The sequence below is a fragment of the Homo sapiens genome, chromosome 7 (assembly GCF_000001405.40).
Source record: "Homo sapiens chromosome 7, GRCh38.p14 Primary Assembly".
NCBI lineage: Eukaryota > Metazoa > Chordata > Mammalia > Primates > Hominidae > Homo > Homo sapiens.
This window is the reverse complement of record NC_000007.14, coordinates 34,166,791-34,183,428: the sequence shown is the minus strand read 5'-3', so window position 1 is coordinate 34,183,428 and position 16,638 is coordinate 34,166,791. Positions and strand designations below refer to the sequence as shown.

Below are 16,638 nucleotides of genomic sequence, written 5' to 3'. Positions count from 1 at the left end.
CTTGGTGTCTTGGTGTTACAGAAATGAGCAAAACGTAATACCAGGCCTCATGGAGCTTCTGATATAATACAAGGTTATTAATTAGACTGGAGAATGACACAGGCTATATTGGAGACATTAGTTGATGCTGTTGGGGAGTGGAAGAGAATAGCATCCAACTCAGAGAATGAGGGAGGGCTTTCCAGATAAAAGATGCTTGAAGTTTATCTTTCATCCCATCCTCAGGACTCAGAACATTTGGTGCCAAACCTTCTCCACTAATTCACAGGTAAAAGAGTGACTCAGTTCATTTGGGCTGCTATAGCAAAATGCCATAAACTGGGTGGCATAGAGAAACAGAAATGTATTTCTCACAAGTCTAGAGGCTTGGAATTCTGAGATTAAGGCATAGGCAGATTTGTTGTCTGGTAGGTATTCAGGTCCTGGTTCATAGAATGGCAACTTCTCACCATGTGTCCTCATATGGTAGAAGGTACAAGCCAGCTTTTTCTCTGGAGCCCCTTTTATAAGGGCACTAATTCTATTCATGAGGGCTCCACCCTCATGAACTAATCGCCTCCCAAAAGCCCTACCTCCTAATATCATCACACGGATGCTTAGATTTCAACATATGAATTAGGGTGGGGGGTAGGAAGGGTGGGAAGGGGTGTGGGACACAAACATTCAGACCATGGCATTTTGCCCCTGGTCCCCGAAAATCCATATCCTTCTCGCATGTGAAATACATGCATTCTATCCCAGTCACTAACGTCTTAGTTTGTTCCAGCATCAACTCAAAAGTCTAAAATCCAGAGTCTTAGCTAAATTTCATCTATATTAGATATGGGTGAGACTCAAGGTATGATTCATCCTGAGGCAAATTTCTCTCCCCAGCTGCGAACCTGTGAAATCAAATGTTATGTGCTTCTAAAATATAGTGAGGCTCTAAGCATAGGGTAGACATTCACATTTCAAAAGAAATACACAGAAAAGAAAGACAGTAACAGGTTTTGAACAAGTCTAAAACCTTAAAGCTCAAGAATAGCCTTCATTGACTGGATGCTTTACTGCCTTCTAGGTCCACTGAGGTGAGGTCCCACCTTCCAACTCTCTGTGGCAGCGGTCCTGCCCCATGGCTTTGAGCAGCCACACCCCCATGGTGGCTCTCTGCAGCAGCCCCACCTCCTTGGGGTTCTGTGCCTGAGTCACGTGCCTGTGGTCCTCCCACCCCCAGTGGGAATCATGCACCAGTGGCTCTAAGCGTCTGAGGTCACAGTGTGTGGCTCTACCCTCGTGGCTGCACTAGGAATTGCCCTGGTGGGGTCTCTCTACAGTGATCTCGCCCTCACAGCAAATCTCTGCTTGGGCTCCACAGCTCAGCAGGGCATCCTTTGAAATCTGGGTGAAGGCAGTCATGCCTCTACATCTTTGCTGGGTGCAGTGCACACCATACCAGGGTCTGCTGGAGCTGCACCGGGGGCAACCAAGAAGCTTGGCAATGAAGTGTGGAGAACAGAGCCTTGAGGCAGTGCCTGGTAGCAAGTGCTAAGATCCTGCAGGTGCCCATGCCCCCTCCTTTGAAATTGTTTTTTCTCCCAGGCCCTGAAACTCTGGGCCTATGATGGGAGGAGCAGCAACATGATGTCTGAAATGCCTTCCAGGTTACTCTTTTATTATCTTGTACAATAAGTCCTGGCTCTGCTCAGATGGCTCATCCATGCTAATCTTATCAAGTGGTCACTTTTTCAAACCCTCGGTTTTCTCTCCCAGACATGCTTTCTCATTCCTTTCAATATGAATAAGAATTTCCCAAATATTTATATTCTGCTTCCCTTTTGATTAATAATTCTATCATTAAATCAATTCTCTCTTCTTGCATTTACTATAAGGAGTCAAGAGAAACTAAGCTTCCACACTCTGCTTAGAAATAGCTCCAGCTAAATATCCAGTTGCTCACACATTCTACTTTAGACAGAATTCTAGGACAAACACTACTCAGCCAAACCTGTTGCCACTTTATAACAAGGATCCCCTTTCCTCAAGTTTTCAATGACATGTTCCTCCGTTCCACTTGAGACATCAGCAGAATGGCCTTCACTGTCCATATTTCTACAAACATTCTGTTCACAACCACTTACGCATTTGCTAGGAACATTTAGGCTGTCACTACAGTACTCTTCTTCTGAGTCCTCAATCGAATCACCCTTTAAGGTTCCTTCACACCAACGTAGGCTTCTCTAGTATTCACTTAGAAACCCTTCCTGCCTCTGCCTATTATCAGTTCCAAGCTGCTTCCACATTTTAGCAGCACTGTAACAAATACCTAAAATTTCCCCTTAGGTATTTTGTAGAAGTGGTATTTCTTCCTCTTCTTGGTACCAATTGTCTTAGTCTGTTCAGGTTGCTATAACAAAATACTATAAAATAGATATTATAAATAACGGAAATTTATTTCTCACAGTTTTGAAGGCTAGGAATTCCAAGATTGAGGCAGCAGCACATTCTGTTTCTGGTGAGAGCTCACTTCCTGGTTCACAGAAGGCATCTTCTCACCATATTCTCACATGGTGGAAGGAATAACGCAGCTCGTTGGGGCCTCATTTGTAAGGGCACTAATCCCATTCATGAGGGCTCAGCCCTCATCCTAATCCCCTCTCAAAAGTGTCACCTCATAATATCACCACATTGGTGGTTAAGTTTCAACACATGAATTTTCGGAGGGCCACAAATATTCAAACCATAGCAAAGAGATGGCCCTCTCTTTACTTATCTGACAAGAGCAAACCCCAAAATAGGCAGTCTACTTGCCACCTGGTGAGATGTCAAAAGTCCCAGGAAACCACCTTTTCTGTTAAATTTAGAACAGTGTAGCATCATCTATTCACAATTAAGTGTTATTCCATGCTAACCTAAAAACACCCTGGAGGGAATAAGCATTGATAATTTTTTCCAGAAGTAGACCATCAGTGTAAAAAAATATGAGAAATATTCTGATAAGTTAAATACTAACAACAGGTTCACCTGGTCTTGAATCCTAATTCTTCCATTTGATAATTGCGTAATTCCAAGTAAGGTGTATCCCCAGTCACACTCTCCCTTTCCTCACCGTAGATAAAGATAGCACACCTGCACAGCTACTGCCCTTGATTCCTGAGCAGGATCAGAGGAGCAGAGACTGTACAAGGACTACACTGTCCATTTGTCTGCAGGCAGAAAGGATAGACTGGGTTCCTGGGCTCAAATCAGGGATGCCACTGAAAGCAAGCTTTTTTTTTTTTTTTAAACGCAGTCTCACTCTGTCGCCAGGCTGGAGTACTGTGGCGCGATCTCAGCTCACTGCAACCTCTTCCTCTCGGGTTCAAGTGATTCTCCTGCCTCAGCCTCCCAGGTAGCTGGGACTATAAGCACGTGCCTCCACACCCAGCTAATTTTTGTATTTTTAGTAGAGGCAGGGTTTCACCATGTTGGCCAGGATGGTTTCCATCTCTTGACCTCATGATCCTCCCGCCTCGGCCTCCCAAAGTGCTGGGATTACAGGTGTGAGCCACCGCACCCAGCCAAAAGCAAGGTTTTATATAGATGGGAATTTTACAGCCCCCTCATCATACTCTAGAGATGACAGTAATGTGTTTTCTAGCACATATGCATTTCTGAGGCAACCTACACTTCCCAAGACACCGGGGACCCCCATCTCATCTCAGCCAGTAACCACAGTTAATTAGAATAGGAATGGACCTTGACCCAGAAATGGCATGAGCAATCAAAAATTTTTCTTGAATAATTAGATTCCTCTCTTGGAAATCTAAAAGTGAAATCAAGCAACTGAGATAGGTAAAATAAACTGACCCCCTAATGTCAAGAGGTAGACTTCAGGGTCAAAGAAGGCTACCTCAATCAGGATCCCTGCAGAACAGATGGCATGCTCAAATGTATTAGAGGACAGTTTTAAAAATAGGCTATTTGTAAAGGTGTGAGTGGGGGTGGGAAAACTACAAGGAATCATGTGATACCCCAGGTCTAGTCATGGCAGACACTCTCACCACCAAAAGGCCTGAAACAGCAAGAGAGAAGCAGTCACTAGAATGCAGGTAGAACAGCAAAGAGAGAGCCAAGTGGCAGGAGCTGTGATCTGCAGGTGAGGGACAAGAAGGGAGTTAAGAAACAAGACCTTGCTCTTTTTATTTCCTCCATCTTTAGCCAGAACAGACAAAGCCAATCCGAAGCCAGAAGGAAAAGGAGCCCAGTGGTACAAAATTCTGGGGCAAATGAGGATGGAGAAGGATGGAAATGAATCTAGAAGGCAAATAGAGTAAGCAGCAGCCCAGCACAGAGGCCTCAATGGACCATGCACAAGACTATCCATAAACAAAAATAGCCAATTGGCTGAGAATAGCAGAAGAGACCAGATATGCAGAGATGCCCTAAGAGATCATGCAGCCCGTAAGAGAGAGCAGAGCCTCCGCTCTGGAATTGCTGCCAGCTTAGCAATTCCATTTTAGATGTTTCCTGTACCTGAAGATCCCTATGTCCTTCACAGGCACTGTCTTGATGAGTCTAATTATTTTAGTCAAGTACTATTAACTAATATTCCACTCCCTGTGGAGGCAGTTTCAGACATAGTTTCCAGTGATCCCTGCCCCTTGCAAGCTTCCCCTGGAGTATAGACTAGACCTTAGTGACTTGCCTCTACCATACAGAATACAGCAAAAGTGATGGAATTCCACTGTCAAAATTAGGTTACAAAAGACTCTTGCCTACTTTTGTGCTTGCCTTCTCTTGCTGGCTCTGATGAAGCAAGCTGCCACTGCTGTAAGCTGTCCTATGGAGAGACCCACATAGTGAGGAACAGAAAGCAACTGTGTAACTGAGGTTCTCCGTGCAACAGCCCACCAGGAACTGAATGCGGCCAAACCATGTGAATGTACTAGGGGACAGATCTTTCCCCACTGAGGCTTGAAATCTGCTGCACTCCCAGGATGATACCTTGATTGCAGTTTCTGTGAGGTAATAAGAGCTGTTGTTTTAAGCCATTAAATTTTGGAGTACATTGTTTGTTACACAGCAGAACAGAACAGAACAGATAGCAGAACTAATACATTCCCAGAACATAATTGTTTCCTCTACATGAGAGGCCGTAGGCCTGAGACTCCTGTCAGGCTGCACTGGGAGATTCCAAGGATGCTGAGCACCCTCTGAGTATCTCTGAGACCTGTGAGAACCACCTAAATGGAAGATTCCTTTTTGGTCTAGCCATGGGTGAATTCCAGGCCAAGAGCCTGAGTCTTTGCCAGCTATTCAAATCGAATGCCACGTCTTACAGCTCATAAGACCCCTTCTTCTGCCTTTCTGTTCTCTTCAGACTCTAGCTACATTGTTGTGTCATTGTTAAATTTTCTTTGAAAATTATTTCAACTACTGTCATGGGTTGTGGGATATTCAGCCCATGTTCCCCCATTTCCAAATTGCTCCTCCTCCAGCATGCATGGAAATGATGGTTTGCACTATTTCAGAAGTACTTTGATTCTTTTCTTCATCTAATCTCTCCTTTAGGTTCCATTCACTTAACCTTAGAAAGGTGATTCTCAAAGGGAAGTTGAGTGGGGGACTTCATATAGCAAGAAAGGGGCATATTTTTCTTCTCCTTTGAACCATAACCATTTAAGGCAATTATAATGCTATGTAATAAAGGAAAAACATTTTAATGATATCCGGGCTGTTATTTAAAATGCCTCTTTGTTTTTATTTCCATGATGTGAGTTGTTCATGCTTGCTGTTTTTTTCCTCCCATGGGACGGGAGCTGGCAAGTTATTAAAAATATCTCACTGTAACAAATATATTACAAAGAAGGATATTGAAAACATATCTCTCTAAATCATTGCCGTGTTTCTGGTGATAGATATACAGTAACAGTGCTTTGTTTGTCTAATTTTAGCAGATTCTAAACAATCTTTAATCCTAGGAGAAAAAGTGTTTTGGCTTCTGTACACATAAGGAAAGAAAAATTGAGTAGAAGTTAGAACACTTAAATTATGACCCCAACTCAGTTGCTAATTAATACGTGGCCATAGGCAAGGTTATAAATGTTCTTGCTAGCAAAATGAAAATGTTATTGCACAGGGTTATTGAGAAGACTAAATGAGATACTGCATGTACAACACTGATATTCAGTGCTTAGACTCAGTATTCTCTTGTATAAAAACAGGGTTACTCTTTAAAATAAAAATAGGATTACTCTTTAAACAGATCTACAAAATACTGTGCAATTGAAACCAACATGCAAAAGGGTTCAATTGAAACCAACATGTAAAAGGGTTTTTTATGGTCCTGGATAAGTTGATTTGACATTTGTCAAAGTAGTGGTTCAGCAGCACCATGAACTACAATAGCTTCCAGATGGATTAAACATTAAAAAATAGAACTGTTAAAGTACTAGAAGGGCTGGGTATCATATGTAAAACAAAAGAAAACTCTAAAATGTGACTGTAGGAAGGCAGACTGGCTGGGGTCCTTGGGATTCAAGGAATGGCACAATGGTTAGTTCCCTGGCTTTTTTTTTCCCCCCCTCTTTTTTGCCCACTATATCCTAGGCTGGGAGCTGGAGAAACTAGAGAAATTAGCAAGACAAAAACACCACAGAGTATAGACAAAAAAGCTCCAAGAAATGCATTATTTCTCTAGCCTAGACCAAGAAAGGAACAACAAGACAAAAAATGTTTAGACAATAACTGCCCTATTCTAGGAAGACACCATGAAAACAAGATGGGGCCCACCTCCATTCCATCTGCAAAGACCAACCAGGAGCCTAGACTTCTACAATCACCATGTGCTGTAACATGTGCCCGAGTCTTCTGCTAGGGTGGCATCAGAGAAGGTTGGGTAGGGAACTAGGACTTTCCTCCCCATCAGTGGTAATAGGGAGCACCTCCCTGATGAAAGTCAGTGGAGGCCATGGGAGAAACAGTAACCAGGTGTCCCCTCTCATCAGAGTGGTGTCAGCAGAGGCCTAGAGGGGAGCCTTAACTTCTACTCCTGCCCAGCAGTAGAAATAAGATACCCCCATAAGGGTGTCAGTGGAGGCTGGGTGGGAAACATGCACTTCTCCACCTCCAGTAACAAGGAGGCATTTCTACTTCCTTTACCAGTGCAGTGTTAGAAGAAGACAGCTCTTTATGAACTGAATTGTGGCTCTCTTAATTCATATGTTAAAGCCCTAACCCCCAGAAACTCAGAACGTGACTATATTTGGCAATAGGGCTTTTTAAGAGGTAATTAGGTGACAATGAAGCTATTTGGGTGTGCCTCTATCCAATCTGACTCGTGTCTTCATAAGAAAAAGATATTATGGACACACATAGACATCAGGGGTACACATATACAGAGGGACTACCACGTGAAAAGGCAGCAAGAAAGCAGTCATCTGCAAGCCAAGGAGAGACCTCAGTGAAAACCACCCCTGCCAGCACCATGATCTTGGACTTCTAGCCTCCAGAACTGTGAGAAAATAAAGTAGAATACCATAGCACCCAGGTTGTGTTGTTTTGTTATGGCAGCACTAGCAAATTCATAGACCAGCTAAAACAGGAAGTTTAAATAAGAGTCTCATAAAATAACACCCAAAATTTCCAGGATATAGCTGAAAATTACTCAGTCACTCATCATATCAAGAACCAGGAAAATCTTGAGTAAATGAGAAAAGACAATCAACAGATACCAACTGAGATGGCACTGATGTTGGAATTATTTGACAAATATTTTTAAACATGCATCATAAAAATTCTTCAATGAGCAATTAAGAACACGTTTGAAACAAAAGAAAAACTACAAAACCTTAGCAAAGGAATAGAAGATATAAAGAGAAATCAAGAACCGAAGATGGCCAAATAGGAACAGCTCCGGTCTACAGCTCCCAGCGTGAGTGACGCAGAAGATGGGTGATTTCTGCATTTCCGTCTGAGGTATCTGGTTCATCTCACTAGGGTGTGCCAGACAGTGGGCGCAGGCCAGTGGGTGCGTGCACCGTGCGCAAGCCAAAGCAGGGTGAGGCATTGCCTCACCTGGGAAGCGCAAGGGGTCAGGGAGTTCCCTTTCCGAGTCAAAGAGAGGGGTGACGGACTCACCTGGAAAATCGGGTCACTCCCACCCGAATATTGCGCTTTTCAGACCGGCTTTAAAAACGGCGCACCACAAGATTATATCCCACACCTGGCTCAGAGGGTCCTACGCCCACGGTGTCTCGCTGATTGCTAGCACAGCAGTCTGAGATCACACTGCAAGGCGGCAGCGAGGCTGGGGGAGGGGCGCCCGCCATTGCCCAGGCTTGCTTAGGTAAACAAAGCAGCCGGGAAGCTCGAACTGGGTGGAGCCCGCCACAGCTCAAGGAGGCCTGCCTGCCTCTGTAGGCTCCACCTCTGGGGGCAGGGCACAGACAAACAAAAAGACAGCAGTAACCTCTGCAGACTTAAATGTCCCTGTCTGACAGCTTGGAAGAGAGCAGTGGTTCTCCCAGCATGCAGCTGGAGATCTGAGAACGGGCAGACTTCCTCCTCAAGTGGGCCTCTGACCCCTGACCCCCGAGCAGCCTAACTGGGAGGCACCCCCAGCAGGAGCACACTGACACCTCACACGGCAGGGTATTGCAACAGACCTGCAGCTGAGGGTCCTGTCTGTTAGAAGGAAAACTAACAAACAGAAAGGACATCCACACCGAAAACCCATCTGTACATCACCATCATCAAAGACCAAAAGTAGATAAAACCACAAAGATGGGGAAAAAACAGAACAGAAAAACTGGAAACTCTAAAACGCAGAGCACCTCTCCTCCTCCAAAGGAACGCAGTTCCTCACCAGCAACGGAACAAAGCTGGATGGAGAATGACTTTGACGAGCTGAGAGAAGAAGGCTTCAAACGATCAAATTACTCTGAGCTACGGGAGGACATTCAAACCAAAGGCAAAGAGGTTGAAAACTTTGAAAAAAATTTAGAAGAATGTATAACTAGAATAACCAATACAGAGAAGTGCTTAAAGGAGCTGATGGAGCTGAAAACCAAGGCTCAAGAACTACGTGAAGAATGCAGAAGCCTCAGGAGCCGATGTGATCAACTGGAAGAAAGGGTATCAGCAATGGAAGATGAAATGAATGAAATCAAGCGAGAAGGAAAGTTTAGAGAAAAAAGAATAAAAAGAAATCAGCAAAGCCTCCAAGAAATATGGGACTATGTGAAAAGACCAAATCTACGTCTGATTGGTGTACCTGAAAGTGATGGGGAGAATGGAACCAACTTGGAAAACACTCTGCAGGATATTATCCAGGAGAACTTCCCCAATCTAGCAAGGCAGGCCAACATTCAGATTCAGGAAATACAGAGAACGCCACAAAGATACTCCTCGAGAAGAGCAACTCCAAGACACATAATTGTCAGATTCACCAAAGTTAAAATGAAGGAAAAAATGTTAAGGGCAGCCAGAGAGAAAGGTTGGGTTACCCTCAAAGGGAAGCCCATCAGACTAACAGCGGATCTCTCGGCAGAAACCCTACAAGCCAGAAGAGAGTGGGGGCCAATATTCAACATTCTTAAAGAAAAGAATTTTCAACCCAGAATTTCATATCCAGCCAAACTAAGCTTCATAAGAGAAGGAGAAATAAAATACTTTACAGACAAGCAAATGCTGAGAGATTTTGTCACCACCAGGCCTGCCCTAAAAGAACTCCTGAAGGAAGCGCTAAACATGGAAAGGAACAACCGGTACCAGCCGCTGCAAAATCATGCCAAAATGTAAAGACCATCGAGACTAGGAAGAAACTGCATCAACTAACGAGCAAAATCACCAGCTAACATCATAATGACAGGATCAAATTCACACATAACTATATTAACTTTAAATGTAAATGGACTAAATGCTCCAATTAAAAGACACAGACTGGCAAATTGGATAAAGAGTCAAGACCCATCAGTGTGCTGTATTCAGGAAACCCATCTCACGTGCAGAGACACACATAGGCTCAAAATAAAAGGATGGGGGAAGATCTACCAAGCCAAAGGAAAACAAAAAAAGGCAGGGGTTGCAATCCTAGTCTCTGATAAAACAGACTTTAAACCAACAAAGATCAAAAGAGACAAAGAAGGCCATTACATAATGGTAAAGGGATCAGTTCAACAGGAAGAGCTAACTATCCTAAATATATATGCACCCAATACAGGAGCACCCAGATTCATAAAGCAAGTCCTGAGTGACCTACAAAGAGACTTAGACTCCCACACATTAATAATGGGAGACTTTAACACCCCACTGTCAACATTAGACAGATCAACGAGACAGAAAGTCAACAAGGATACCCAGGAATTGAACTCAGCTCTGCACCAAGCGGACCTAATAGACATCTACAGAACTCTCCACCCCAAATCAACAGAATATACTTTTTTTTCAGCACCACACCACACCTATTCCAAAATTGACCACATACTTCGAAGTAAAGCTCTCCTCAGCAAATGTAAAAGAACAGAAATTATAACAAACTATCTCTCAGACCACAGTGCAATCAAACTAGAACTCAGGATTAAGAATCTCACTCAAAACCACTCAACTACATGGAAATTGAACAACCTGCTCCTGAATGACTACTGGGTACATAACGAAATGAAGGCAGAAATAAAGATGTTCTTTGAAACCGACGAGAACAAAGACACAACATACCAGAATCTCTGGGATGCATTCAAAGTAGTGTGTAGAGGAAAATTTATAGCACTACATGCCCACAAGAGAAAGCAGGAAAGATCCAAAATTGACACCCTAACATCACAATTAAAAGAACTAGAAAAGCAAGAGCAAACACATTCAAAAGCTAGCAGAAGGCAAGAAATAACTAAAATCAGAGCAGAACTGAAGGAAATAGAGACACAAAAACCCTTCAAAAAATCAATGAATCCAGGATCTGGTTTTTTGAAAGGATCAACAAAATTGATAGACCGCTAGCAAGACTAATAAAGAAAAAAAGAGAGAAGAATCAAATAGACACAATAAAAAATGATAAAGGGGATATCACCACTGATCCCAGAGAAATACAAACTATCATCAGAGAATACTACAAACACCTCTACGCAAATAAACTAGAAAATCTAGAAGAAATCGATAAATTCCTCGACACATACACTCTCCCAAGACTAAACCAGGAAGAAGTTGAATCTCTGAATAGACCAATAACAGGAGCTGAAATTGTGGCAATAATCAATAGTTTACCAACCAAAAAGAGTCCAGGACCAGATGGATTCACAAGGATCCACAAGGTACAAGGAGGAACTGGTACCATTCCTTCTGAAACTATTCCAATCAATAGAAAAAGAGGGAATCCTCCCTAACTCATTTTATGAGGCCAGCATCATTCTGATACCAAAGCCGGGCAGAGACACAACCAAAAAAGAGAATTTTAGACCAATAACCTTGACGAACATTGATGCAAAAATCCTCAATAAAATACTGGCAAACCGAATCCAGCAGCACATCAAAAAGCTTATCCACCATGATCAAGTGGGCTTCATCCCTGGGATGCAAGGCTGGTTCAATATACGCAAATCAGTAAATGTAATCCAGCATATAAACAGAGCCAAAGACAAAAACCACATGATTATCTCAATAGATGCAGAAAAGGCCTTTGACAAAATTCAACAACCTTTCATCCTAAAAACTCTCAATAAATTAGGTATTGATGGGACGTATTTCAAAATAATAAGAGCTATCTATGACAAACCCACAGCCAATATCATACTGAATGGGCAAAAACTGGAAGCATTCCCTTTGAAAACTGGCACAAGACAGGGATGCCCTCTCTCACCACTCCTATTCAACATAGTGTTGGAAGTTCTGGCCAGCGCAATTAGGCAGGAGAAGGAAATAAAGGGTATTCAATTAGGAAAAGAGGAAGTCAAATTGTCCCTGTTTGCAGATGACATGATTGTATATCTAGAAAACCCCATTGTCTCAGCCCAAAATCTCCTTAAGCTGATAAGCAACTTCAGCAAAGTCTCAGGGTACAAAATCAATGTACAAAAATCACAAGCATTCTTATACACCAACAACAGACAAACAGAGAGCCAAATCATGAGTGAACTCCCATTCACAATTGCTTCAAAGAGAATAAAATACCTAGGAATCCAACTTACAAGGGATGCGAAGGACCTCTTCAAGGAGAACTACAAACCACTGCTCAAGGAAATAAAAGAGGATACAAACAAATGGAAGAACATTCCATGCTCATGGGTAGGAAGAATCAATATCGTGAAAATGGCCATACTGCCCAAGGTAATTTACAGATTCAATGCCATCCCCATCAAGCTACCAATGCCTTTCTTCACAGATTGGAAAAAACTACTTTAAAGTTCATATGGAACCAAAAAAGAGCCCACATCGCCAAGTCAATCCTAAACCAAAAGAACAAAGCTGGAGGCATCACGCTACCTGACTTCAAACTATACTACAAGGCTACAGTAACCAAAACAGCATGGTACTGGTACCAAAACAGAGATATAGATCAATGGAACAGAACAGAGCCCTCAGAAATAACGCCGCATATCTACAACTATCTGATCTTTGACAAACCTGAGAAAAACAAGCAATGGGGAAAGGATTCCCTATTTAATAAATGGTGCTGGGAAAACTGGCTAGCCATATGTAGAAAGCTGAAACTGGATCCCTTCCTTACACCTTATACAAAAATCAATTCAAGATGGATTAAAGATTTAAACGTTAAACCTAAAACCATAAAAACCCTAGAAGAAAACCTAGGCAATACCATTCAGGACATAGGCATGGGCAAGGACTTCATGTCTAAAACACCAAAAGCAATGGCAACAAAAGACAAAATTGACAAATGGGATCTAATTAAACTAAAGAGCTTCTGTACAGCAAAAGAAACTACAATCAGAGTGAACAGGCAACCTACAAAATGGGAGAAAATTTTCGCAACCTACTCATCTGACAAAGGGCTAATATCCAGAATCTACAATTAACTCAACAAATTTACAAGAAAAAAACAAACAACCCCATCAAAAAGTGGGCGAAGGACAAGAACAGACACTTCTCAAAAGAAGACATTTATGCAGCCAAAAAACACATGAAAAAATGCTCATCATCACTGGCCATCAGAGAAATGCAAATCAAAACCACAATGAGATACCATCTCACACCAGTTAGAATGGCAATCATTAAAAAGTCAGGAAACAACAGGTGCTGGAGAGGATGTGGAGAAATAGGAACACTTTTACACTGTTGGTGGGACTGTAAACTAGTTCAACCATTGTGGAAGTCAGTGTGGCGATTCCTCAGGGATCTAGAACTAGAAATACCATTTGACCCAGCAATCCCATTACTGGGTATATACCCAAAGGACTATAAATCATGCGCTATAAAGACACATGCACACGTATGTTTATTGCGGCATTATTCACAATAGCAAAGACTTGGAACCAACCCAAATGTCCAACAATGATAGACTGGATTAAGAAAATGTGGCACATATACACCATGGAATACTATGCAGCCATAAAAAAGGATGAGTTCATGTCCTTTGTAGGGACATGGATGAAATTGGAAATCATCATTCTCAGTAAACTATCGCAAGAACAAAAAACCAAACACCGCATATTCTCACTCATAGGTGGGAATTGAACAATGAGATCACATGGACACAGGAAGGGGAATATCACGCTCTGGGGACTGTTGTGGGGTGGGGGGCGGGGGGAGGGATAGCACTGGGAGATATACCTAATGCTAGATGACAAGTTAGTGGGTGCAGCGCACCAGCATGGCACATGTGTACATATGTAACTAACCTGCACAATGTGCACATGTACCCTAAAACTTAAAGTATAATTAAAAAAAAAGAAGATATAAAGAAAACTTAAATGGAAATTTTATAACTGCAAAATACAATAACAAAATTTAACAAGAACCAAAAGGTGGAATCAATAGCAGATGAACAGAACATAAGAAAAAAATCAATAACCTTTAAGATAGAACAATGAAAATGACCCAATCTGAAAAACAGAAAAAAATAGACTGAGGAAACCATGAACATGGCTTCAGGGACCTGTGACATTATAACAAAATATTTAACTTTCACAGCATCATTGTCCTGGAAGGAGAGGAGAAAGAGTGGGGCCAAAAAAGGTGCAGAAAAATAATGACTAAAATTTCCCAAGGCAAATTATATAGACCCAGATTTAAGAAGTTGTGCGAATCTCAAGCGGCATAGTCCAAGTAAATCTACACAAAGACATATTCTAGCCAAGCTTCTGAAAATAAAAGACCAAGGAACATTCTGCAGAGCAGAAAGTAAGAAGTGACATAATCCCTACATGGGAAAGCAATTTGGATGACAACATATTTCACATCAGAAACCATGGAGACCTGGAGGGAGTGGCACATTTTTCAAATGATGAAAAAGCAAGCAAACAAACAAAAATGCACACAAAAATCTATCAACCCTAAATTCTATTTCCAGGTGGAAAAAATCCTTCAGGAATTAAGAAGAAATCAAGACATTTTCAGATGAAAACAACACTAAGAAAATTTGTCTTAGAATGGCAGAAAAAAAGGAATCTTAGAACATCAGGAAGGAAGAAAAACCAATGGAAAGACTAAATGTAACTAAGTATCATAGAATTTCCTTCACTTGGAGAAGGAAATTGTGCTTGATAGTTGAAAGGAAAATTATAATATCGTCTAATGTGTTTCTCCAAGTGTGCCGAAAAAATATTTAAGATAATTATAAATGGGGGAAAGCAAAGGGACTTAAATGAGGGCCAGGTTTCTATACTTTGCTTGAACTGTTAAAATGTTAATATGAATAGTCTGTGTCATTTATATAATATTCTTAAATGATAAAACTAAAGAAATGGAAAGTGCATCAGTGGTTTCCAGGGGTTAAGGATGTAGGGGAAGGGAGTTTATGTGACTATAAAGAAGTTGTTTTACTCTGTTGTATTAGTCAGTTCTCATGCTGCTACTAAAGACATACCCGAGACTGGGTAATTTATACCGAAAAAAAGATTTAATGGACTCACAGTTCCACATGGCTGGAGAGGCCTCACAATCTTGGTGGAAGGCAAAGGAGGAGCAAAGTCACGTTTTACATGGCGGCAGGGAAGAGAGCGTGTGCAGGGGAACTCGCCTTTATAAAACCATCAGCTCTGCTGAGACTTATTCACTATCACAAGAACAGCGTGGGAGAAACCCGCCCCCATGATTCACTTACCTCCCACTGGGTCCCTCCCACGACACATGGGGATTATGGGATTATTATAGCTGCATATATTTGAGCAGTGCACTCCACCTCTCTAACCCTCAATTTGCTTGCTAGTAAGGGACAAGGGACCCCCAAATGGGTGATGTACATATTATGACCCAAAGAACGACCATGCCCTATCAGAGGTTTCAGATCATAGCCCTATGGCCACAGTCTTTGAGGTAAAAATGATATTTGGCAAACAAAAAATGATGCATTTCTGTATCTGGAATTTTAAATTTACTCAGGTAGGGAATTTTGGTTTCCCTGTGATTCTCCTGGCACAGGTCTTTGTCCCAAAAGTGGAAGGGAGAGAAAACCCAGGACATCTAGGGATTCCAGACTATATGCTCTTTGATTAAATAGTCTTTCACCTGACTGTCCACGAGGATTTGTCCTTCTGTGATCTGTGTCTGCATTTAAATACATTTCTGTTTTAAACATTCTTAGACCTGTGGGAGCTTGTTTTAAAAGAAGTGAGTGACAAACTCCCCCATAGTGTGTGTGTGTGTGTGTGTGTGTGTGTGTGTGTGTGTGTGTGTGTATTATATATATATATATTTTATATATATTATATATATATATATATATAATATATATATATATATATTAGCAAAGTAGTTTTAAAAATCAGGCACTTAGCCTGCCAAGTTTCATCTCTTGGAAATGACAAGAGAGGCTGCCTCAGACTTTAAAACATCTAATTTGTAAGTGGTCCATCTATTTTTATAAAGGGCGGAGAAGGGAGTGGTGGGGGAAAATATCCAATCTCATTAAAATTCTCACAACGATTTAATGAGGATGAATTGTCTTCATTTTATAGTCAATGAAACAGGGGTTCAAAAAGATTAAGCAACTTGTTCAAGGTCACACTCAATGTTAACAGACATCCTGGAGTATAAAGGCAGTTTTCTCTGAATCCCATGTTCTTGGCCCTGGCTGCAGGAACCTCGCTGATACCACCAAGAGTAGGCAGGGATGCTTTCAGCAGGAAAAGCAGAACAAAAAAACAAAATAAAATGAGGAATCCTTGAAGTCTTAGATATAGAAAAAGGACGGGCGTAGCTGAACAATAACAGCAAACACATCTTAAGAGGCCAGTCCCTGAGGACACTTGCACCAGGAAGACAAATGGGCTTCAGATGCCCCCCACAGCCCCTAACCCACTTATTTTTATTTTCCTCCATGTTACCTCTATGATTTGGAATAATCTAAAAACTCCCTCTTTTTTTAACTTTTTTTTCTGATTTTATTATCTTTTTTATGATTTTTAAAAATTGACACATAATGATTGTACACATTCATGGGGTGCATAATGGTGTTTTGATACATGTAATGTATAGTAATGATATTATGGTAATTAACTATCATCTCAAACA

General features: G+C 41.6%; 1 annotated feature.

The window, feature by feature from the left end:
- Positions 7,521 to 8,128: an enhancer, noted in NCBI's record as "NANOG-H3K27ac-H3K4me1 hESC enhancer chr7:34214913-34215520 (GRCh37/hg19 assembly coordinates)". NCBI's record gives its function as "activates a minimal SCP1, AML or CMV promoter by ChIP-STARR-seq in naive H9 embryonic stem cells {active_cell/tissue: H9 hESC(naive)}" and the evidence as "EXISTENCE:reporter gene assay evidence [ECO:0000049][PMID:30033119]".